This window comes from Homo sapiens, chromosome 4 (genome assembly GCF_000001405.40).
Source record: "Homo sapiens chromosome 4, GRCh38.p14 Primary Assembly".
In the NCBI taxonomy this organism is placed as follows: Eukaryota; Metazoa; Chordata; class Mammalia; order Primates; family Hominidae; genus Homo; species Homo sapiens.
Genome location: NC_000004.12, coordinates 185,617,987 through 185,644,104, shown reverse-complemented (window position 1 = coordinate 185,644,104; position 26,118 = coordinate 185,617,987). Strand labels below are relative to the sequence as shown.

The following is a 26,118-nucleotide window of genomic DNA, read 5'->3' as shown; positions in this document are numbered from 1 at the left end:
ATGTTGGCCAGCCTTTCCAGTGTAGGACCAGCTCATCATCTTTTTAAAAAAATTAGTCCTGACTTCGTTTCAATTGCCTCTATAAATTAGAAAACAAAAAGAGCCAAGTGGGCCGTGGTGATGTAGAGACTGGCCGCGTACTGATATAGTTTACATAAGATTCTGAAGTGTTGAAAATACAGGCTAGAGGTTGAAGAGCAGGCGTGCTGAATGAGAGTGGCGTCGCAGCGATGGCCAGCGCTGAGGGGTATCAAGGTCTTATTCATGCATTCTCATGTCTTTTGACTCCAAGATGCCTTGGAAGCATTCCTTTGCTCTTTTCATTTTCAATTTTTGAAAAATATACACAACACCTGGGCAATTCTGTGTTGCTCTTTTGAATCTCTACATGGCCTCTCCATCTGCCCACTTTTCCAAAGGGTCATCTTGGGTTTTCCCCTCTCCTGCAGTGGACTCAGTGTCGCCTGCCAGGAGAAGTGCCACTGCTGCTCCTCTCTTCTGGCCCACAATTGTCCGTGCCTGGGCTACAGTGACAGCCACCTGATTCATTTCCCTACCTCTCCAGTCTAGTCTCCACACCACAGCGAAGGCAATCTTTAGAAAATCTTTATAAAACCTCCAGCTCAAAATTTTCTCTGGCTCTTCACTGTCCTTCGAGCAAAATCTGAAACCCTGAGCATAATTTATAGAAGACCTGTGACTGGGCTCCAGCTGACCTCTCCAGCCTCATCTCTCCTCCCACCCTCCCTGCCTCGCTAGGTTCCAGCTGCACAGAGAACTTTCAATTCCCGCATTGCTGGGCCTCTGTAAAGGCTGCACCTCCCCACCAGGAAAAGCTCTCCCCACCACCTCTTCCTTCACATGGAGAATTCTATCCCATCCTCCAGGTCCCAGCACAGTCCCACCTCCCCCAGGGAATGTGCCTGACTCCTCTGCATTAGGTTGGAGGCTCTCCCTGCTGTGTGCCCATGGCACACTGTGTTCCTCATGAGATCTTGAGCTTCTTGAAGGCGAGGGCTGTGACTGGTCCACCAGTTGTATCCCAACACCTGGGACGATGCCTGGCCTGTAGCAGGTGTTCAGTGAATATGCATTCGTGGAATTTCTAAGTGAATGAAGGAACACAGGTTTCACCCTTGCAGTCAGTGGAAAAAGTTGGTGAGGGACTGAATCCTTGTTCTGTTGTTTATCCATGAAGCCTATATATTTCTAGTGCAAAAGGCCCAGTGGGTCTCAAAACATTCTTGGAGGGGTTTGACACACTGCTATTAGTAGTGACTCATAATTCCACGATTCCCTGGGATACAGAGAAGGCAGGGGGGTAGTACTGTTTGAACAAAAATCTTCCCAAGACCCTGGCAAAGAGATCTTCCTTAGGAATCAGTGGCATATGCGTTTATGTTCTTTAACAGGGAAAGTAAAAGTGAGCGCACTTTTTTGAAGCTCATAAATACTCATGTGACTGTAAATTTAGAAATGTTAATTAATTGGGCCTAATGTTTGATCTGGAAAAGTACTTAGCAGTCACCAGGAATTTGCCTTGAACTGACTCGAACCACAAATCAGAACCGTATTTCCACAATTTAATTTTTCCATGAGACAATCATAAAAACTCTGCTGGGATTATATTACTAAAACCTTTATATCCCATTGCATTGGATATGTTTGTAGGTGAGTAATGTTAAATTTAAAAAAAAAAATTAATAAAGCATTTGTTTAGGACCTCTGTATGCTTGATAAAGTAAAAAAAAAATATATGAAAATGTTACCCTAACCTACAATAACTAAACTTGAACATAATGATAAAAGCAGAAGAAAATAGTCATTGAAAACACTGTAGCAGAGTTGAAATGCAACTTAAACCCTTAATGAACTTAAGCTTCTTTATCAATAAAGATTGTCAGTCAATACTTAACTATAAAAATTTAAGGAGTTTCATCTGATGACCATTAAGAATTATCCCAACTAATAATGTATATAGCATTTATTGTGAAACCACAATAAATATAAAACACGGTAGTCAATGTCATTAAAACTTAAAATGGAATGAGCGTAATTTGAAAAACAAAATAGCCCTGGCACTTCTTTTTGTTTAGAACAACGTATAGAAAGCACATGCCTCACTGAGAATACTTAGTGGAATCTCGATAACCACAAAAGCAATTAAATGCTTTTAAATTATAGAAAACACTAAAATTTTTAAAGTTGTTCACCCTTGGTAGCTTTTAAGTAAGGATCACTTGTGATTTATAGTTGTAGCTTTTCTTGAACACGTCCTCTTGCACTGATGACTAACAAAGTTAGTTTTAAACGGAGGTTTGCTGGTGGGTTTTTTTTTTTTTTTAATGAAAAGAAACAACAACAAAAAAATCACACCAAGGCTAGAAAGATGCATATCAGTATCTTTGCTCTTTTGCCTTTTATGAGCAATTAGAGTAAACCATAATCATACCTCCTAAATGAGTTTCTGAGTGTTAATATTAGTGCTGTACTCAAAGGAATGTCCATGTTCCACATGGAAAGTGTTAAATTACTGAGATTAGTGATTTGTGTGTATATCCATCTGTTGACTGACCATCTGTATGTGTGTCACTGACTGTTGCGAGGCTTCTGTGTTCCTTAGCAGTGCCTCCAGGTCACCATAGGACATTTAATTATTGCATGACTTAAAAGATTCAATACGGCAACCACAGCAAAGAGAAAATTCTAGTTCTGCCACTAACACTTCCTTTAACACAACTCTGCTCAAACATGTGCCTTTCATTGCATTCCAAAGTTATCGATAATTACCAGCTATCATTGTTTTGGGTGTTTTCTCTGCTAATTTCTATTGGCATGCATTCTAGATAGTTGCCCATTGTAACTATAAATTGACTATTTAAATAAACAAAAGCATAATTCATGGAAAACTGCCATTCTAAGGTATGATGCAAGATGGTAGATATTCTGCTTCCTTTTCCATATTCTATCATAGAGATGCATTACTATAAATCAGGACTTGGTATATCCATTTGTTACATATTTTCTTAATGTGGGAGTCAAAGTGAAGCTACATAGCTAACAAGTCTTATTCATTTAGTAAGTTGGCTGCCCTCTGCTGTTCATAATGTTTCTTAAACAGATTCGTTTCCTCTAAGAGAAGTTTCTATCTCCCCTTGGCAAAACAAAATACTATTCTTGAAAACAGAAGTTATAATAATTAATGATATCATTCAGTGTGTAACATTAGAAACTATGAAGTTTAAAAGAGTCAGAGGTTAGTTTTCCTGTAGAAGAAATAGTATGTCTCTCTAAACAGAAGAGAAATTACTGGAAATTCTCTCTCCTGTCAGTTACCCTAAAAACCAGCTCCAGCAAAGCCATTTCACGAACAATTATGCATCTATAATGATCTAAATAATAATTGGAGAAAAATAGTATTTTATGGACATTAAAATCTCAATTAATACTATTGCAACTATTGAATCAAATATAAATTGAATTAAATTTTTAAATTCAACAGAAAATAGCAAATTGGTTACTAGAATATTTTGTCTCTACCAATTTCACTATTACTTCTGAGGTGTAAACCAAATATAATACTGGCATAAAGAAGGAAAAATATCTCAAGATTTCTAGGCATTTTCCTATGTCTAATAGTAGGATGTTCTCTCTGAATTTATTTATTACAAAAATAACATTACAACAATAAAGCAAAATAATATTTAAAAGAAAGAAAAAACAAACAGTCGCAATACCAGAACACCATTGTAGTCGTTTGTGTATGTGTGACTTCTTTACTGTGTTCATGCAGAGACAAGCTTTGTAATACCTTTGTAACTACTGTACAGGTGCGTGGTTAGATTCCGTTTTGACTGCTTGGTATCTCATTGTAAGCATTTCCCAGGGACACTACACAGTCTTTATAATTATGATCACTACATCTTTTGGATAACTTAGGCTTTTGCACTATTTTGTCACGATGCCTCAAACTTTTCTATCATTGTCTGTAATTACTCCTATAATCTTTTATTATAAAATATTGAAACAAAGTCACATCACTAAAAACACTGTGAGTATAATTTATTAGTAAGTGTAGACTGTGTATCATTAGCAAAACTTGTAAATGCAACGAGTCAATAAAACAGTAGAACAATGTCAAAATCATGGCTTTTGTTGGAATATGGAACATTTCAAGCTCCCAGCACTGCGAAGGTTACATAGCATTTTTTTCACAACCAAGATGTCGCTATTCAGTTTAAGTCCCTGAGTTTCTTTAAGAATTGTAAGCAAATGATATTGAATTGTTCTGAAGCAGTGAGCACTTAATAGTCCTCCTAGAATATGTCTTGGGAGTCACAGCTCCTCTCCTAGCCAGAGTGAATGGCTTTTAGGGAACCATATAATTTTTCTTAGAATTTTTTTTCTGACTTAAGATACTGTACTCTTCAATTGTACCACATTTAATTAGTGTCATATAGTAATTATCAAAGAAGTAATAACTTGTATATAGTACTTTAAGCTCTTAGATTTACTACAAAATCAGCAGCCTAAATCAATCTAGTCAGCCATGTATTATTTGAAAATATTAAGGACACTGCTGGGTAAGGTAAACACTCTACATCTGTTTTCTATTACTAGAATAATTGTATGTATTTTCTCCAACTGTTTATATTAACACTGCTAGTTTTTTCATCTTAAAAACAACATTCAGAAACCTCTGCAGGGAAGCAGGTCAATTATAAAACTGGCTTTTTCTCTAAATTAGAACATCGAGGAAACCAAGATGGGATTTTACCCCAGGCTCCCTCCCCTTCCCCGCCATCCACGGTATTGTGAAGAACCAGATCCCCTTCTCAGCTCAGAGCAGGCAGCCGGGAGGTGAATCCTGGGGATCCACTCCTGGTGGGCAGGGCTTCGCAGCGGCCCGGATCGCTCCCGAGGCGTCTGGGTCCCTAGGGACACTTCGCCGTCCGGAGGCCTCTCCCCTCCCGGCCTAACGCAGGCACAGCGCGCTGCCAGGGTGTCCTCGCGGTTCCGCCCAGAGCCTCCATCTAATGAACCAGTTTCTGCACCCCTCTTTCTTGCAGCCCCCTCTCCCAACAACTCCGACACCTGTTCCAAGGGAACCTGGCCGGAAGCCTCTTTCTAGCTCCCGACTCGGAGAAGTCACTGGTAGCCCCTCCCCTCCGCCCCGGAGTGGCGCCCCCACACCAAGCTCGCGCGCCCCGGCTCTGTCTCCCACCCGGGTGAGCTCCTTCCTTCCTTACCTTTCTTCATGCCCGGCAGAGGTGCAGGTGCAGCCCTTGCTTGCTCAGAGCCTGGCGACTCCCACTCCCCCGGGTCCCGCTCGCACCCATCCAGGCCCCAGAATCTTCTCATCCACAGGCCCCTGAGAGCCCCCCAATGCCCTGTCCCCCTCCCCCCAGCTCGCCTGTCTTCCCACCCCTCCCGCACCCTTCCCCATCCCAGGCTTACCACCTGCCTGCACCCGAGTGAATTGTCTGCAGACTGCGGGCTCCCATGCTGGGACTGCTAGCCACCAATGAGGGCAGGGACGATGAAGTGACTCGCCCAAAAGAGCTATTTGGTGACTGGGTTGAGCCTATTCCAAACATCAGGCGTGCCAGCCAGACCCAGTCTCGCTGCCGCAGAGAGTGGTCCATAGTTCATGCCTCAAGCGTAAGTGGATCAACTCAAGCAAGAGTTGCCCACAACTTATGCCAATCAGAAACGATGGACGCAGGAAACAGCTAGGGACCCCCTGCCATGGAGCTCGCCTTCACATCCTCATGCTACTCGTTTTACTTTACTTCCTCCGTTCTCTCCTGCTGAGGTTCGTGGGGTGAGAGTTGATGCATGTTTGCGTGTCAATGCGCGCGTGAGTTTTTCATGCCACACAGCGTTTCCCTCACTTTGCTCAGTGTGCCTTTTCCTTCCCTTTTCCTTCACATCTGCTCTAGACTGATCGCATAAATCCAGATGACATAGATTTAGAAAATGAGCCCTGGTATAAATTCTTTTCAGAACTGGAGTTTGGACGCCCGGTAAGTGAGGCTAGACTATTAATATAAGAAAACTAGGAGTATACTGTTTGATTTCTAAAATACAATTATCAGTAGACGTGGGTGTCATTCAGAGAACAAAGGCCGAATGCATAATGTATACACACACTTGGTACAGCGTAGTCCAGATTCATTTCTGTACCAAATGGTCAAATGTGCTCAGACATTTCCTATGTGGTTTGTAGGTCATTCATTAAGATTTCTTTACATCTAATTCATTACAAGTTCAAAATCTTGAGGTAGTTTCTGTGATGGAATATTCAGACAATTATTACAGCTGTATAGAAGATTTGTATTTGTTTACAGTCTATTTGGTCTAGTTCAAGCAGAAGAGCACCTTGACATTGAGTCCTGTTTGCTGAGCAAACATCAGGCACCTGGAGAGTGCGGGCTTCTGTCTTCATTATCTCCTCGAGGCCTCCTGATGTCCCGCCAAGAAGAAGAAAATGGGGACTGGAGGGGTTAAGTAATGTGCACAAAATAGTAAATGGCAGAGTAAGAAGTTAAACGCAGAGCCTGTTAAAGAAAAATGAAAATCTCTGGGCAGTTCTCACTATAATATACTGCCAGAGTAATCCCACTACAAAATACAGTCACGTGTTGCTTAAGGATGTGGACGGGTTCTGAGAAATGTGTCATCAGGTGGACTTGCCATTGTGCAAACATCGCAGAGTACTTACACAAACCCAGATGCTAGAGCCTGCTACACGCCTAGGCTGTGTGCTATGGCCCGTTGCTCCTGGGCTACAAACCTGTACAGCAGGTTCCTGCACTCCATACTGTAGGCAACTGTAATGCAATGGTAGGTATTTGTGTACCTAAACATATCTAAACATAGAAAAGGCATGGTAAAAATACAGTCTTATAATCCCATAGGACCACCATCATATATAGGTGCATCGTTGACGGAAACGTCATTATGCAACACATGACTGTACCTAGTTTACCATTAGGGATATAAGGAAAGAAAAAAATCAGGAAGTCCTGTGGATCTTAATTTCCAGACTTGCTAGTGAAAGCCATCACAGCTTCTCTAATCCCCAGACTCCCGCCAGAGGAAGCCCAGAGGTTGGGCCTTATTGCTTAGCCTGTTTGGGATAAAGAGTCAACTTGAGGCCGAGCACGGTGGCTCACACCTGTAATCCCAGCACTTTGGGAGGCCGAGGCAGGCGGATCACGAAATCAACAGATTGAGACCATTCTGGCCAACATGGTGAAACCCCGTCTCTGCTAAAAATACAAACATTAGTTGGGCATGGTGGCGGGTGCCTGTAGTCCCAGCTACTTGGGAGACCGAGGCAGGAGAATCGCTTGAACCTGGGAGGCGGAGATTGCAGTGAGCTGGGATCACGCCACTGCACTCCAGCCTGGGCGACAGAGTGAGACTCCATCTCAAAAAAAAAAAAAAAAAATAGTCAACTGGAGGTTCAGTTAACAACTTCCCTGATTAGGAACTGTATCCACCAACAGCAGTGCATTTGATGTGTGTCAGTTACACACGTTTTTATGCGTTTTAGACTCTTAAATAACCTACCAATTACACTGATAGTTTTTTTAGAAATCAGGATATAACCATTTCTATACCATATGCTGATTTATATACTTGCATATGGACCATATATGGTTTACTGATTGGTGATGGTAGTCTCTTTTGTCCATTAAACTGCAAAGGAGACTTGGTTAGACTCAAGGTAGCTTATTGAACTGAATCAAAAGTGACTGTAAACGAATATAAACCAAAGGATTTTTCTTAGGGTTATTATCTCATAGGAGGAATGTTTTCTCTCATTTTTTCTCATTTGTATCTTAGTGTGAATGTAAATGTATTTTATTTCAAGGAAAAACATTCTCTAGCTTTATTTTATATGTATTGTTGCTGTTGGTTAGAAAGTTTATAGGGACGGCCAGGCGTGGTGACTCACACCTGTAATCCCAGCATTTTGGGAGGCTGAGGCAGACGGAACACTTGAGGTCAGGGGTTCGAGACCAGCCTGGCCAACATGGTGAAACCCCTTCTCTACTAAAAATACAAAAATTAGCTGGGCATGGTGGCGTACGCCTGTAATCCCAGCTACTCAGGGGGCTGAGGTGGGAGAATCACTTGAACCCTGGTGGCAGAGATTGCAGTGAGCTGAGACGGTGTCACTACACTCCAGCCTGGGTGACAGAGTGAAACCCTGTCTCAAAAAAATAAAATAAAATAAAATAAAATAATTCAAAAAGAAAGCTTATAGGGACTATTCTGTACTGAGCCTAAGTTATCAGCATTTTCCATAATCATTTTCAGTCACACATGGAAACTCACCAGCATGCTATCCACTTGCTCCTTTAATGTTTCTTTAATTTACCTTGCATTCCTCTGTGGCCAGAGACTAGGAGTGCTAATGAAATTTGACAAAATGAATTTATAAATATACTAATTGAACACTAGCCAATTTTCCCAGTGCTTGAGAATATTTGCAGACGTTGCACACTTCCTCCCAGCTGCCCCCATTTTGCTCCATTCATGTCATTCTGTTTGTGTAGCTGGTGCTGTCAACACTCAATTTCTAACTGTTGTCACCTTTTCCACATGTTCATTCCTTGCTGCCATTGACTCTCCTCCATTCCATCCCTACACTTCTGCTTCTGTGGTGCGTCTACACCCAGCCTCCTAAAAAGCCTCTGGACTATGTTCAAGATCATTCTTCTGGTGTTTTCAATGAGGTAAAAACACGTTATTCTCTCTTTTTCAGATATCTCCCTTAGAGGCTGTGACTGTGATTCTGCACATCTGTGTTTTACAATTCTCTGTAATGTCTAAGCTATTTTTGAAAAAATATCTATCTTTGCATCATTATGTTGCATCCAGTATCATTGCCTGGACATTAATTATACCAGAGTTGTTGGCTATCTCTGGACTCTGGGTGAAGAATCATTCCAACCACAACTGCTAGTTATACTATTCTATGTAGTTCTGGTATTCAGCAGCGTGAAAATTAAAAATCAAAAGTATTAGTCTTAGTGCATATATTAACCACCTCTTTTTATGAGACAGAGTAAAATACTACAAGAAGGCTTCTTAGAACCATTCTATTATAATGCTTGGAGTGTGGATAATCAGATGCCTATGTCCCATATATTTCTAAAATTTATTTTTGTTCTTTCATTTTCCTAAATACAACTTACGGATTGTATTATCAGTCAAGAATAGGGCTGGCAAATACCTGGAAATTGTGTATCACAACTTCCCAGTTTCATACCCATGACAGACATGACTACTCCTTTTCAACACTGTAATCCAGGCAGCCACTATAACAAATTATCATTGGCATATAAAATGAAATGCGTTTGCAATCTCTACTTAAGAGCCTATAATAATCAACTAGGTGAAAAATTTATGGCAGCCAATGTATATTTTTATTTGAATCAGAGTTTTATTTGAAAGAGAGAATGATACAGGCAGAAATGATTCAGAGTCAAAAGCTTGTTAACCTGCTCTCTGCAAAGAAAAGCAGAAAATTACTTTAGAAAGTGGATAAATGACTCATTAGAAGACACAAGCAGAAATGGCACTGTTTTGCTAGCCATCAGCTATATAAAAGCCTCCTTGCAAGGAACTCTTAGAAGCAACTAGCATGGGAACGAAGTAAATAAACTGTTTTTTGCACATTAGTTGCTCTGTGGTCTTAAGTGAATACTATAACACAATAAATATCTTATTTTCATTAAAAGTCTTAAATATGTGCAACTGGGAAACACAACCAGTAGAACCGTTGTGTTGTAGGAGGTACTACTGACACATAGTGGTGACCACTGGAATTGCAGGTATAGAGTCTCAAGAAAATATGCAAATTTCTAGCGTCTCAACTTGCAATTTCAAATTATTTACCCTGTGGTAAACATCAGAGTGTGTGTTAAAACTGAGAAGTGATCAAAATATTTATATATTAAATAAAAGGTAAAATAGAGTAATCAGGAACATTCTGGGTTATTGAATTCAGTTATTTCTAAAGGCTTACATTTTATAGCCAGGCAGGCAGGCATGTAATCTGAAGAAAATCAAATAAAACAAGGGGTTATATTCTGTATGTTATGTTACCTTAATATCTGCAGAAAGAGTCTTATTTCAACATATGAACAACCCAAGAATTTATTTTGAAATTCAATGTGGTCAGATATTTTTCTCAGATATTTCTAGGGTGTTTTTAAGGTAGTTGGTTCATAGATAACTGAAATGGAATTTAGAGTGCATCATGTCCAATTCACTCATTTTTCAGTTAAAAAAAAAAGTAGAGTGCAATAATTTTAAGAAATAAGTCCAAAATCACATGGTAAGATAGTGGCAGAAAAAAAAATATATCTCTCTTAACCTTCATTTCTGTGCTATTTCCTTTATATCACACTTTTCAGCACTTCCAAGATATATATTTAGAGGATAAATCTTTTAAAAACAAATTACTTACTTAATATTATTTCTTGTTAACTATTGAATTCCTGTGAAAAGAGTTCTGTTAATTAATATTACACAATAATTCTTGGGCATAAAAATAGTAGAAACTTAACTCTATGCATTCTATTATGTGATGGTAGTGGCAAAAAAAAAAAAACAACACATAAAAAGCACTTTGCCAGTAGTTGATCTATTTGCCAGTTATCTCTGGGATTGAGAGGGGGTGCTGTATGATTCTAATAGCATATGTTAACTATGTTATTAATTTCACATTATAGTTTTTCAGAATGTAAGAAAATATATTCTCTTAAGGTTCTGGATTTTGTCTTTAATAACCTTTTGTTATTAAACATTTCTGGTAAAAACAAATGTAATTGATTAGACATTACCTTAGCTACCGTTTATCAACTGCCTGGTATATACCATGAATAACATAGATTTTAATCCATAACTGGAAAACTGGCATTAATGAAGAACAGTTACGGATATTTAAGCAAAATTTAATCTCATAGCTACTTAACAGAAAGAGTGATTCAGTATCTGTACTTCACTAAATTGACCTTCTAAGTGTGTTAAAATAATGGTAATATGTAAATAGTAGATCATAACTGGTAAAATTTGTAACCTCTTTTCTGGAGATAATTTTCATTTTGGGATGAGTACACTTCTTACAATTATTGTACAAGTTTTTCTCTCAGTCATCAATCTAGATTTTTTACTCTTATCTTACAATTTAATACTGAACTTTCTCTGAGTGTACATGAAACCGCAAAACTGGTTTTCATTTATTTTGAATGTAGAAACCAGTACAAGGAGAAATAGTAGTTTCTTAGCCTAACCCTAAAACACAATCAGTTCTTACACTATGTTTTATTTCACATTACAATATTGTTTAGGCTCATTATAAGTTGACAATTCAAATTTTCTGATCACTGTAGGGTTGTTCTAAGAGTGTTGTGAACTTCACACTTTTTGGTGATCAGCTGTGTGTGAGGGTGTCCCACGAAAGCCGTGATCTGCACAGACGCCGATGCTCTCAGGCTCTTCAGTGTCGCTCTTCTGCAAACGAGTAGAATTAATATTTCTTAATTGTAATATAACGATCTGATTTTATTTTACTTGTTTGCTTTCTTTCATATTTAGTATCTATTTTTCTACCTTCCCAGTGTCTGATTCAGAGCTCAGCAAATTAAAATAACCATGTACACATATCAGACTAGCAAACCAAACTTTTCTCCTGATTTTATATTTGTTGAGAACCTAGAAATCTAAATATTTTCTAGGAACTAAAAATATTACAATCCACTTTTTCTGTCTAAAAGGAGGATGGGAATATTCTCATGCAGAGATGCTTTTGTTTCTAGACAAGATTCCATTTTCATTTAGTAAGATAGAATTAAATTAAAATATTAGTTAATAGAAGCGTAAGTTATGCAAAAGGGACCTTGTAAGACTGATATACATACAGAATTGCAAAATTGTATTGTTTTAATTGATTAATTGGTGCTAATTTACCAATTAATAGAAAACTGAGTTATAGAAATAGTTTGTAAAGTGAGATTTGATTTCCACTAAGTAGATGTTTAATACTCTGATAAAATGTTTCTAGATGATGGCAACTTAAGACAACATTTGTCAAACCTTGCCTTTCTGGCTGACATTTTTAAGCTTTCATACAGACAAATGTTTTTAAACTAGAATTCCAGTTCTTCATCAAACCAAATTTTATCTGTGATGAATTGATCATCAAATATGACCAAAGGCAAAACTATCTATACTTGGTATACATCTCCCTATACTTTCTTTATACTTTTGTTTTGTTTTGTTTTGTTTTGTTTTTTTGTTGTTTTTTGTTTTTGTTTTTTTGAGATGGGGTTTCACTCTCATGGCCCAGGCTGGAGTGCAGTGGCGCCATCTCGACTCGCTGCAACCTCTGCCTCCCAGATTCAAGCAATTCTCCTGCCTCAGCCTCCTGCGTGGCTGGGATAACAGGAATGTGTCACCATGCCTGGCTCGTTTTTCATATTTAGTAGAGACAGGGTTTCACCACGTTGGTCAGGCTGATCTTGAACTCCTGACCACAGGTGATCCACCCGCGTTGGCCTCCCAAAGTGCTGGGATTACAGGCATGAGCCACTGCACCCAGCCATCTCCCTGTGCTTTCTGGACATCATACCACAGTGTCACCTCAAACACTTGATAGCTCAGTGTCCTCTCTTGCCTTTTAGATATTTTAGCAATTATCCCAGCAGATGCCATGGAAAATAAAAAATTCATATTATCATTTTTGCTTACTATCTATTTCAGTGTATTATTCAGAATGAAGGAAAAATTTAAAAGCGCACTTTAAAAAAGTTATATTTTGCTTCATTAGCTCATTTATTTTAAACTAGCCCTGAACTCACCTAATTGTAAAAGTATAACTATTTACCTGATTGAAGTACCAGGTACTTTATTTAGTTTCTTCAAGTCAAACTCTGTGGGTTTTATTTAAACGTCATGTCTATGTTGACAGATGAATGGTGTCTTAAGTTCTGCTTATGTGTTACATTCTGAAGACAATACTTGGTAACAACAATAACAAAAACTTTAAAATGTGATGTTTTATAAGGATTGAATGATGACTACAAATTTTTTAAAACATCAAACCATTCCTTTCTGTAGGAAATTTCTATTTACAGTCAACAGGTAAGATTCTGCAGTTCAGGCTGTAGGATAACTTTAGCTCTTATTTCAGTGTCCCTGAGAAAATATTATTAATTTCCCCCCATGCAATGCTTGGGTTGTGGATAATTTGAGCTACACAGAGAACTGCAATGCATTATATCAGAAGGGAAAGCAGATAGGTCCCAAGTAGAAATCAGGTCGCATGATCTCTCTTTGGGAAGACATTTTTATAGTCATAATGAATGGTACTTTCAACCTCAATTTTTATAATATTCTTTTTAGGATACCTAATTTAATGTTGACAAGTGAACAAAATTTTGCCACGGTAAAATTTTTCATGGTACTATTATCCTATCTTAACAGGCCTCCTTGTATCAGTCCTCTATAGACAGAAGCCTGGAAAGACCCATGAGGTAAGAATCTTATTATGTTGTAGCAGAATATTCTATACCAGTGGTTTCTTTTTCAACAATAAAATTATTCAGTGAAGTAGTAATGAGTATCATGTATCACTCATTTTTATTTGAAGTACCATGCCTCATGAAGTTGTTTTATTTTGTTTCAGCATCATTTTATATGATCATTTCAAGAATTTCTAAAAAATTAGTGAACTAATTATAAATTCCTTCACAGACTGAGAAATCCTTCTCTTCCCTTAGTCCCCTATACCCAGTTTTCTTTTCTTTAGATGGGAATTATAAGTAACTAATTTTCAATGTTGTTAAATGGCCCTTATAATAATATATTTGAAAAAAATTATAGATTAAAAAGTGTTATACACGTATTTGTTAATCATACTTTGACCACACAAATCAGAAATACTGTTATTAATACTACCAATAAATGAGGCATAAGTACAAAACATATTCAATCCTAAGAAAACACTATGGTTAAATACTATTGTCCCCACTTTATCTCTGAGGAAAGTGACACCTAGGCTTAGTAACTTACCAAGTTTACACAGTTGGCAAGGAGAGAGAAAAAAAAGAAATTGAGGCAAGATAGCTTGTCACCGCTAGGCCTAACTTCCCTCAGAGTTCGCCTGAAGTAAGTTCCATTAGCTTTAAATATCACACTTTTTAAAAAATATTACAAAATTCATGGCCAGGCACGGTGGCTCATGCCTGTAATCCCAGCAGTTGGGAGGCTGAGGGGGGAAGATCATGAGGTCAAGAGATTGAGACCATCCTGGCCATCATGGTGAAACCCCATCACTACTAAAACTACAAAAATTAGCTAGACATGGTGGCATGCCCCTCTAGTCACAGCTATTCAGGAGGCTGAGGCAGAAGAATCGCTTGAGCCTGGGAGGGTGGAGGTTGCAGTGAGTCGAGATTGCACCACTGCACTCCAGCCTGGCAACACAGCAAGACTCAGTCTAAAAAAAAAAAAAAAAACAAATCACAAAATTCAGACATATTCAGACATAGTTCAATAGTAATATTGAATAATACAAACTCCCAGCCATATTGTAACATCAATAACAAATATTTATCTAGTAGCATTAATTTACCCTTCTATGTAGATTTCTTTGTGAATTGGGTCAATCATAAATTGGGTTTCTGAGTGCCATCCAACTGCAATAACATCCCTGAGAAAGGAACTCTGGAACCCCTCCTTTTTATCTTCTGCCTCTATCTATGCACCTAAAATATTTGAATTTTAGAGTTTTAATCTAATCTACAGATTGCCGTAAAGACACACAGACCCTCACATGACAGGACAGTCCCAGCAAAAACAGGTCTAGGAGATGCATCCTCTTCAGAAGAGGACAAACCAGTTCTGAGGTCTGCCTCTCCGCTTGCTTCCGTACATCCCAGACACATGTATTCACTTTACCATTTGTAAAACTGAGATAACAGCATATACCTCATCGGTTTGCTGTGTGGGCTAAATAAGACAAAAACATAAAGAAAGCACATAGCATTCTGCTGGGCTCCATAGGAGCTGGGGTTGCTGCTGTTGCTATTATCACTGTTGTCTACACAAGTCTTGTCTAAGAATCCAGTGATTTCATGCACAGTGTGCTGTGCCATATGTGGCTTCATTCATTAACATTGGTCTTAAATGATACTGTACTCAAACTCAAAACCATGACAGAAACTCCCTGCTGTTCTAGACTATTGACAGTATTTTATGCAACTGAGGGGAAGGAATCTTTAATAGTTAATTTGCTGACCAGATTACTGGTACTGATTGATTGACTGACTGATGAGACAGGGTCTTGCTCTGTTGCCCAAGCTGGAGTGCAGTGGTGCAATCATGGCTCACTGCAGCCTCAAACTCCTGTGCTCAAGCTATCCTCCCACCTCAGCCTCCTGAATAGCTGGGACTACAGGCACATGACACAACTGGCTAACTTTTTTATTTTCTGTAGAGACAGAGTCTCACTAGGTTGTCCAGGCTGGTCTCAAACTCCTGACCTTGAGCCATCCTCCAGCCTTGGCCTCCCAAAGTACTTGATTACAGACGTGAGCCATCATACTCAGCCTTCATTCATTATTTAAATAAAAAATGTTGGAATTCCAATATAACATCTTCTAAAGCTAAGATGATAGAGATGATAGGACAAGCTGCAGGCAACCCTTGAGGTGAGAGAGATTTTCCTCTCTTGATGTCTTTTTTTTTTTTCAGTTATTTCCTGTATTTGGTATGCCCCTCTGGATATATTCATGTTGTTAGAACTCCGCTTTATAGAGAAAAGATACAAGATACAAATTATAGCACTGAATTCTCAATCAACATATTACACTATAGGAGAATTTTGACGTTCAAAGATGTTTAAAAACTTAGGTTCACACAAAAACCAGCAGGTGGTTTTCTTAGGAGCATTATTTATAATTGCTAGAAGTTGGAAGCAACCAAGATGTCCTTCAATAGGTGAATGGATACATAAACTGTGGCGCATCCATGTAATAATAGAATGTGACTCAGCAATACAAAGAAATGAGCTATCAAGTGACAAAAAACACATGGAGGAGCCTTAAAAGTGTATCACCGAGTGCAGGAAGCCAACCTGAGAGGCCACATTCTGCATGATATCAACTGGGCATGGTGAAAAGGCGAAACTGTGGAGGCCGTGTGGAAAGATCAGTGGGTGCCAGGATGAGCGGGAGGAAGGGAGGGATGAAAAGCTGGAGGACAGAAGCTTTTTATGGCGGGAAGACTATTTTATATGATTGACACATTAATGATGGACACACATCATTATACATTTCTCAAAACCCCTAAAATGTTTAAGACAAAACATGAACTCAAATGTAAACTATGGACTTGGGGTGACGACGCATCAGGAAAGATTCATCAATTGTGACAATGTACCCACCAAAAGAATATGTAAATGATAAGGGAAACTGTGCAAGAGGAAAGGGACTATAAGGAAACTCTCTACACTTTCCAGTCATTATTTCTGTAAGCCTAAAACTGCCCTAAAAAAATTTAGTTGTCCGGGCACAGTGGTTCACGCCTGTAATCCCAACACTTCAGGAGACTGAGGCTTGAGGATTACTTGAGCTCAGGGGTTTGAGACCAGCCTGGGCAACATAGTGAGACTCTGTCTCTACATAAATAACAAATTTAAAAAAATTAGCCAGGTGAGGTGGCACCCACCTGTGGTCCCAGCTACTCAGGAGGTTGAGGCGGGAGTATCCCTTGAGCCCAGGAGTTTGGGGCTGCAGTGAGCTGTGATTGCACCACTGCGCTTCCAGCCTGGGTGACAGAGCCAGAAGCCATCTCAAAATAAATAATAAGGTCTATTCATTTTTTAAAAGATCCTTCTAGAGAAATCATGTTGAACATCAAGGGATGAGTTCCTAGCAATGCAGTTTTGGGGATAGAGGTTTAGGAGTTACGCCATTGTCACTAGCACGTTCCACCGGTTTTTCTGGTGCACACCCGAACCTCCTCCAGTGCCAATCAAACAGATCTGATTCCTTCTTTCAGTTCTGCAAGCATGGCCAGTGACTTCAGGAAGCGGAGGAAGAGCGAGCCTGCAGTGGGTCCACCACGGGGCTTGGGAGATCAAAGTGCGAGCAGGACTAGCCCAGGCCGAGTGGACCTCCCAGGATCAAGCACCACTCTTACAAAGTCTTTCACTAGCTCTTCTCCTTCTTCCCCATCAAGAGCAAAAGGTGAGCATAGTAAATGAAAACACAACAATTTACTAGTTTACGTTTTAGCCTAGAGCACTGTGTGAAAGCTGGCCCAGTGATAGTGGCATGTGCCAGCTCTCACCTACAGTGTCTGGAATAAAATATAGTTTTAGAACAATAGCCTTCTTCCCACCCAGACTGACTCAAGCTGGCGAGCCACTTAGGTTGCTTAAAGAACTCTGACTAGCATCTGCTAATGCTTTTTTCCCCCAAATAGATCCCTTTCTAAACAAATTGAAAGTATCAAATAATGTATCATCAGGCTACTAAAAGATGTATTTTGTAAACATTGACATATAGTCAAAATTTTCTAATGTTTCTACAACTAGCAAATTAGTCAAATTTATAGGATAAAAATTACAAGCAGCAACAGAGCAAATTGTTGGCTAAAATATACATTGGTTTGGAGGGTTTTAAAAAATTATTCAATTCTAGATTTTAAAAAAATCCGACCTATTAATTTCTTTAGCCATTTGCTGTATATTTTGGGCCACCTTCACATGAACAGTGGAGCATCCACCTCCTGCCATGTAACACAGTGGTCAATTCACAGCAGCTCACAGTCAGGACTAATTGGTCCCAAACCATAATGATATCACTGAGGAATCACCAAGCCTTTTTTTCTGGATGGCCCGTCTCCTCTCTGCAAGTGTAGGGAGCTCACTGTTGAAAGAAGTCACTCCTTCTGGTTTCTGGAAGACCATTTAGTGGTATTCCTTGAGGACAGGAATATTTCTGAGATGGAGAGTGAGGATTGAACCAGCCCCTACAGGGAGCTAGGGCTCTACCAAATGTGGGACCCCACAATCTCCTCTAATATCTTGGGATTGAAAGAGAAGAGAAAGAGATTTTGAAATGTGTAAAGAAATTGAGCTCTAATGTAAGTTTCTATAAAACCAGACCAATTCAGCTACACCTATCAACTATAGTCACTAAAACCATTGCCACATGGTAGTTAAAAGTGGTAGCTGATTTGTGTGCAAAAGGTATTCTGGTCGTGATGATTGGACTCTGAGTAGGTGGATGCCTAGCCCTTTTAAGGCCTTGTAAAGCTGTGATATCAGCTGATGGTTCAGGGCGTGTGAGCCCCATCCATCACATCTTTCCTCTGAGGAGCAGAGATGCCTTATCAGATTCAACTCACTTATTCAAATGAATATCTTAAGGTAACAAGTAGGTCATGAAATGCCATTGACCTATTATTCTTGGATACTAGCCAAAAGTTAAAAGGGTTCTGATAAATGTAGATATTTGTTTCATCACAGGGAATGTTAAATCAACTTCCTTTCCCAGACAGTACAGATCTACCTAATGTGCTTATCTACTTTTAAAGAATTTAGAGAACATTGTAAGGTATAAGTATTGAATAGAGATATTTTCCTCCATTAGATTTTATTTCTAGGAAGAAAATGTCCTATTAGATATAATTTGGCTCCTCATTTATTAGTTGACTCAGCAAAGCAAAAGAACATTTCCATAGCTATTCAAAATTGAGGCCAAATGTAGATCTCTATTATCAAATTGCAAATGATTTTTCAAAGAACTCTTCCGAGAAAAAAAGCATGGTATATGCACCTCTGATGAAAGTTTTGCATTATATTCAGTTTTCCTATGAGAATTTTGTACCTAATAAAAGGTTAAAGGTAGAGCAATTTAAGAGGTAAATTCGTTTGTTTAAAGAGCTTTAGCTATTTTTTTCTAGAAAAATGTTAGCAGCAATAGTTCACAGCATTTTGATTTTGCAATTTTGGAGAATACTTTGCCTTATAGCTTTTAAAATCTAAAACCCACAAAAAATTATTTGATATAGTCATGAGAGTATTAATTCGATGTAAATGTATAAACCCTTCTTCACCTATGTATCATTACGAATCAAATGAGGCTCAAATTCCGGCCCTATTAAATTGCGTAAGGGTATAACACTTTTGACACTAATTGTTAAACCTTCACTACCAGATCATGCTATCAGCTGAAGCAGCACTATTGTGTTTTGGCAAACAATATTGTCAGAAAGGTGTATGAATTATGCAGTAGGAGTAGGTGTATTTGCTTACGTCGGTTGCTTCTTATACACAGTTTTGTCAACTCTCTCTGCAAAGCTACATTCACTGAAAAAGTATTAGCTCGCTTTAGAATTAGACCTTCTTCTCTAGAGTTGAAGCTCCATGTGTGAACAATCAGCACCTAGATTAAAACACACTAACTGCTTTCTCCTTGCTATGCTGTCTGATGCTTTACTGACATGCTCTCCTCTCTTTGTGAACCTTTTAACTTCTCCAAATGTCTCTCTTCTACCACGCTGCTCTGGATTAAAAGGTGGGGATGATAGCAAAATATGTCCATCCCTTTGCAGTTACTCAGGGCTCAACGGCAACCCCTCCAGTGAGTTAGATTACTGTAGCACTTACAGACAGCACTTGGATGTCCCTCGGGACTCACCAAGAGCCATTAGTTTCAAGAACGGCTGGCAAATGGCCCGGCAAAACGCAGAAATCTGGAGCAGCACGGAAGAAACCGTCTCTCCCAAAATCAAATCCCGGAGCTGTGACGATCTCCTAAACGACGACTGCGATAGCTTCCCGGACCCGAAAGTCAAGTCGGAAAGCATGGGCTCCCTGTTATGTGAGGAGGACTCCAAGGAGAGCTGCCCCATGGCGTGGGGGTCCCCCTACGTCCCGGAGGTTCGCAGTAACGGCAGATCAAGGATCAGACACAGGTCAGCCCGCAACGCCCCGGGGTTCCTGAAGATGTACAAGAAAATGCACCGCATCAACCGCAAGGACCTGATGAACTCCGAGGTGATCTGCTCCGTGAAGTCCAGGATTCTGCAGTACGAGAGCGAGCAGCAGCACAAGGACCTGCTGCGCGCCTGGAGCCAGTGCTCCACGGAGGAGGTGCCCCGGGACATGGTGCCCACACGCATCTCCGAATTCGAAAAGCTGATCCAGAAGTCCAAATCCATGCCAAATTTAGGGGATGACATGCTGTCTCCCGTAACCCTAGAACCACCGCAAAATGGCCTATGTCCCAAGAGGCGGTTTTCCATTGAGTATTTGCTGGAGGAAGAAAATCAAAGCGGCCCCCCCGCTCGGGGCCGGCGAGGCTGCCAGTCTAACGCCCTGGTGCCCATTCACATTGAAGTCACCAGCGATGAGCAGCCCCGAGCACACGTGGAGTTTTCCGACAGCGACCAGGACGGGGTTGTGTCCGACCACAGTGACTACATTCACCTAGAGGGGTCATCCTTCTGCAGTGAAAGTGACTTTGATCACTTTTCCTTCACATCCTCCGAAAGCTTTTACGGATCCAGCCACCACCACCACCATCACCACCACCACCACCACCGCCACCTCATCAGCTCCTGCAAAGGCAGGTGCCCGGCCTCCTACACTCGATTTACCACAATGTTAAAACACGAAAGAGCCAGACACGAAAACACCGAGGAGCCCAGAAGGCAAGAAATGGACCCTGGCCTTTCTAAACTTGCTTTTCTAGTCAGTCCTGTGCCTTTCCGGAGGAAAAAAAATTCGGCTCCTAAGAAACAGACTGAAAAGGCAAAATGTAAAGCATCTGTGTTTGAGGCTCTGGACTCTGCCCTTAAAGACATCTGTGACCAAATTAAAGCTGAAAAGAAAAGGGGGAGCTTGCCGGACAACAGCATCCTGCACCGCCTCATCAGTGAGCTGCTGCCAGATGTTCCCGAGAGGAACTCATCCCTGAGAGCGCTGAGGAGGAGCCCCCTGCACCAGCCTCTCCACCCACTGCCTCCCGATGGTGCTATTCATTGTCCACCCTACCAGAATGACTGCGGGAGAATGCCCCGCAGTGCCTCTTTCCAAGACGTGGACACAGCCAACAGCAGCTGCCACCACCAAGACCGTGGCGGTGCACTCCAAGGTGGATGAGCTTTTCTTTCTTTTTCCTTGTGGTTCAGAGACCCACCCTCCAGCTCTTTCATTTTCCATTCCAACATCTCATCACTCCCGAGCTGGGAGACCATTTGGCGTCGTTATGTGTTGTGAAGCAAAAACTTGTTGTGCAAATATGTCTTACTGAATATTTCTCATTTGCCCATGTGATATTTGGACTTGATGTGTGGCTTAAAGTGATCATCAATTCACAAAAATTTACTCTTTCGAAAACGAGAGGGAAGGCCATTTTGTAGCTCAGCATTAGGGTTGAAACAACCACTACTCACATTGAGACAATAAATTACGTTGTGACATGAATCAAAACCTATAGTTCCACAAATAGCCTTTTAAAAATGTTTATATTAACGTTAAAACTTTATATTCATTCAGTTAATAAATAATTTGTCACATTCTATATAGAAGATACTATATCAAAACATTCAAGAAGCAAAACTGAAATATGTGATTAGTAATTGATGGACACAAAGAAATTAGGGTTTGTTTAATAGCTTTCTCCATTTCAAGGACACAATGGTGATAAAATTTTTGTGAATGTATCTTTAAGCTATATATATAAAAGTCCCATTTCCACCATTTAGTGTATTCATTTTCTCTTTTCCATTACTTAATTCATTCACTTTCTCTTTCTGCTAAAACAGTCCTGTATTGAAATTTGAATTACACTATTCAGGCTAACAGTGACTCTAAACTCTATTTTCATAGATAACTTTGAAGTGGCAACACAAGAATAAATAGCAATTGAAAGGCAGAGGACTATTTTTGAGATTTATATAACTTACAGCCCAGGGTGTTTTAATATTTGTGACCAATTATTTTCATTAATTCTTACAGCACATCTGTTCACTACGTAAATTTTAAGAGGCTGGAATGAACATTCCGGGCTGAAAGTTGGTCAACAGAGAAACTTCTATGCACCAGACACTACAGAGTGCTTTACATACATTATCTAATAAAACTGGCATAGGCCTATGAAATGGGTGTTATTTCAAAAGCCATTTTCAATTTTGGAAGTTGGGCCCAGAGAGGAAAGGAAATTCGTCCAAGGTCACACAGAGAGTAGATAACAGAAAAGAGATTCAAACCCCTAATAATTCAGAATTTATAGTATAAAATATAATCTCAGACAAAAAAAAAGACATAATTCACAGTTCATACTAGTGTCAAATATGGCTCGATTGTTAATTAACTTGCACAAATCTACTTAGTCTTTATGTTTGCTTTCACTTTTGCTACACTATACACTTACGTTTATCTTTGCCTACCCTTAGGCTGAAGCAACATGCTTCAAAATAATAAATTAGAATTTAAAAAATCAATTTCTACAATTCAAAATTTTCACTAATTGAAATGTGTCAGAATCTCATTTTTTAATAAATTAGCTACCTTCTCCAGGCTTTTAATATCCTAATATAACCATCTCTCAATTTTATGTGCAGATAGGAGTACATTTTTGAAACGTAACTTGGAAGGGCTTTGAAATGCATTTAAAAGTATTTTGTTTTTTAGTAAAATATTTACTTTCCAATTGTGTTTCACCCAAGTGAAAAATAGCTTATATTCCCTGGGTTAGAAAAAGTAATTTAAAATTTATGATCATTATGAGGCCCTATGATCATAAAAGTATATTAACTTAGAATTTACATCATCAAAGTAGTCAAAATCCTAAAACAATGTTTTCTTATTATGAATCAGCACTTTAAATTCTTTCATAGATGGATAAAATAAATTTTATTTTTAATGCTTCTTGTTAGTCTGGATAACTAGATATATTTAAGGGATAAAAGAAAGAATTGACAAATATTGACCCAGTTGTACTGATAAAATTCTATAACATAGACTACTGGAATACATTTAATGTCTAGTTACATCTCCATATGTAAGTCACGTAAGTGCAAAAGGTATAAGATACTATTAAGAACTACATGCAATCAAAATTTTGTAATGTGATTATTTATGCTTTGCTTTAAGATGAACAAAAATAATTCAATATTTCATAAGCAATTTGGCAACTGACATGATGCTTTCTGTTTATCCCTTTTTTGCTTGGAGTAAGAAGAAACAATATCTCTTTGTTTCTTTGCTTTCTGATAAGGTGTTTATCATCTGGGCACAAAGGAAGGTCGTAGATAAACAGCATGGCATCTTGAGATTCAATAAGTATTTAAAAACAGAGGAAGAGCGAAGAGGGGAGAGTAAGGCAGAAGGAGAATGTTCATCACCACCCTCCTGTCATCCTCATACTTTCTTTGGTTTTATCTCTTTCTTTTTCATTACTACAGTCTTAAATTACTCCACAAAATGTTTCTTTTTCTACAAATTGTTGCTATTTTCAAATTCTCCATCCTCTGTAAATCTTATAATAGTAATTATAAATAAGAAGCAAAGGCATAGAAACAGAAAGCTTTGGAAAAAATTTATATGAAAAATCCCTCTAACTATAAATTGTCTTACTGGGTGTGGCAATATAATTAATCAGCAATGTAGTAATCATATTTATATAGACAATTATAATTCTGCAACCTCAGATATTTTTCCTTTTGAAATGCTCTTGTTTTGTGTCTTATTTCACAACTTTGTAATGAACTATGAGTTTTATGCCCATGTGTTCGATAACGGTGTCTCTCCAAATTTGGGGAAAAAAGTAGTGGCCACCAGGGAAAATGGCGGAACAGGTTGGCTTGTAATTAAGTGGATACTCACCATGACTGGCCCTGTTCTTTCCAATAGACCGTGAGTCCCCTAGAAGTTACTCATCCACTTTGACTGACATGGGGAGAAGTGCACCAAGGGAAAGAAGAGGAACTCCAGAAAAAGAGGTAGTTAATTTAATAGCATTGGAGTCTTTCACAGCAACACACTTGATACAGCACTTACCAGCCAAAAATTATCCCAAACCAGTAACGAACTCGGACAGGAAATGTGAAAATACTGAGAAACTAGAAACAATTTTCCTTGGGGCCTGAGCATAGCAACTCTGACCCTAGAAGCAGTCCACACCCTGACCCTAGCTGTGGGTCTTCCCTAGTGGTGGCCCAGTTTTGGCCATGAGGCTTCTCCGAGTCTTGACCTGATGCCCATGAACTTAACCATTATGACCTAAAAGTGTCCTGAGTTAGGGCACCTCGTGGAGGCAATAGGTTTCCTCTACAATTTCTTGGCCCGCTGGTCCAGGAGAAAGCCTGATGTCAACTGTGTTGTAAATCAATACAGAGCCTACAGAAATCATTTTTGCTGGCTTCCTTTTATTGGAGAGGATCCCTAAAAAGAGCTTTTAACCAGCCCAGTTCTCGGGATACTGCCCCTGGGAACCACCCACCAACTGAACTCTGTCCAGGGCCCTGAGCCGGGGCTAGAGTTCTTGCTCAAACTGCCTTGGAGCCATGACGGCTGGATGGAAACTAAAAGCTGGACTTGGACTGGTAGCCGCTCCAGAGGATCTTATAGGCGTCTGATGTAGTCCAGAGCCTGTGGGATCCCCAAAGAAGTTAGAAATGGTCCAGGATTCCTAAAGTTCACCAGAGTCATGGGGGAAAAGAATGGAGTGAAGGGATTGTTGGTTGGTGAGGAAGGAAGAGCTGGCCTAGCTAGCTATAGGGTACAGGGTACCTCAGGGAGATCTGTGGCCCCCAGAGTTTGAGGATGGGCACGTGTCACATCACATCACAACTAAAAGACGAGTGGCTGGTGGACAGAGTGTTGAAGGATTCCTGAGCCCTCTAGGGAATGCAAGATGATCACACCTATACTTTTGCCCACTAACCAGCCTCCCAGTGATAATTGAGCTAATATTTTTTGCTAATATGTTAATAAGTGTCTAATGAAGGGAATGATTACTTCTTTTATGACATCTGGTCCTTTTATTATGATTCAGAGGGAGCTGTGTCAATCTCCATAGAACATAGAGCCATTGACCCTCCACATTTATCCTAGGAAGAGCCTTTGTAACAGCCAAAATGATGCCTAGGATGCAAACCTCTGCAGGCATTTTATTCTCTCATTATAACATTAATCTACCTTAGTTCCTAAGATTAAATATGATGGTGAATAAGCCTTCTATTATATTCCTATTATAGCTTAAATATCTAAATGAAGAATGAATGGACTTATTTATAAATTGCTTACAGGATTAACATTACATATGTTTGATGATTCCCTGAGGTTTCCTTTTTCTTTAAGGCACATTAAACTACTTTCTTGTAGAAAATTCAAATTTTAAATTAGTGCTAATTGTTTATCTTCCTTTTCAGAAATTGCCTGCAAAAGCTGTTTATGATTTTAAGGCTCAGACATCTAAGTAAGTAAGATAAATACTCATCATATGATTTAAGGTGGTTTTAAATGTTAGTAATGCTTTAAGAGATAAGCATTGCAGTAGGATCTGTTACAAATGAGGTCTAATTCCCAATGCAGCAATCTACTCTAATTAAATGGTTCCTTCAGAATTACCTTTTATTTTAAGTTTAGTTGAGAATTACTGAGTTTTAAATTACATTAAACATGTTAGGTAGAACACAATGAATTCTAAAGGATAGGAAAAACAAAAAGAATTTAGGAATATTTGTTTTTAGAATTTTGTGTCAATAATGAATTAATGAAGTATTGGGGGCCAGGCACAGTGGCTCATGCCTGTAATCCCAGCACTTTGGGAGGCCAAGGCAGGCAGATGGCTTGAGCCCAGGAGTTCAAAACCAGCCTGGGCAACATGGCAAAACCATGTCTCTACAAAAAATACAAAAATTAGCTAGGCATGGGGGCATACACCTGTATAGTCCCAGCTACTCAGGAGGCTGAGGCAAAAGGATCGCTTCACCGGGAGGTAGACGCTGCCATAAGCTGAGGTTGCGCCACTGCACTCTAGCCTGGGCAACAGAGCAGGACCCTGTCTCAAAAAA

At 39.4% G+C, this 26,118-nt stretch overlaps 1 protein-coding gene across 42 annotated transcripts in view, besides 1 other annotated feature; it reads left to right on the top strand.

Annotated features, from left to right (window-relative positions):
- The window catches only part of SORBS2 (sorbin and SH3 domain containing 2), a 370,850-nt gene that overhangs the window by 312,268 nt on the left and 32,464 nt on the right, over positions 1-26,118 (top strand). For 24 of the 42 annotated variants that reach the window (NM_001394255.1, NM_001394267.1, NM_021069.6 and 21 more), the window contains 5 exons: positions 13,507-13,556; positions 17,086-17,273; positions 19,611-21,191; positions 23,954-24,042; positions 25,474-25,520. In NM_001394255.1, coding sequence (NP_001381184.1) covers positions 13,507-13,556; positions 17,086-17,273; positions 19,611-21,191; positions 23,954-24,042; positions 25,474-25,520 — 1,955 coding nt within the window. Of the gene's footprint in view, positions 1-5,069; positions 5,229-5,942; positions 6,027-8,693; positions 8,751-13,506; positions 13,557-17,085; positions 17,274-19,610; positions 21,192-23,953; positions 24,043-25,473; positions 25,521-26,118 lie in introns of all 42 variants that reach the window. The other 18 variants (NM_001394248.1, NM_001394247.1, NM_001394258.1 and 15 more) reach the window with 8 other exon arrangements.
- Positions 5,096-5,735: an enhancer, noted in NCBI's record as "H3K27ac-H3K4me1 hESC enhancer chr4:186559524-186560163 (GRCh37/hg19 assembly coordinates)". NCBI's record gives its function as "activates a minimal SCP1, AML or CMV promoter by ChIP-STARR-seq in primed H9 embryonic stem cells {active_cell/tissue: H9 hESC(primed)}" and the evidence as "EXISTENCE:reporter gene assay evidence [ECO:0000049][PMID:30033119]".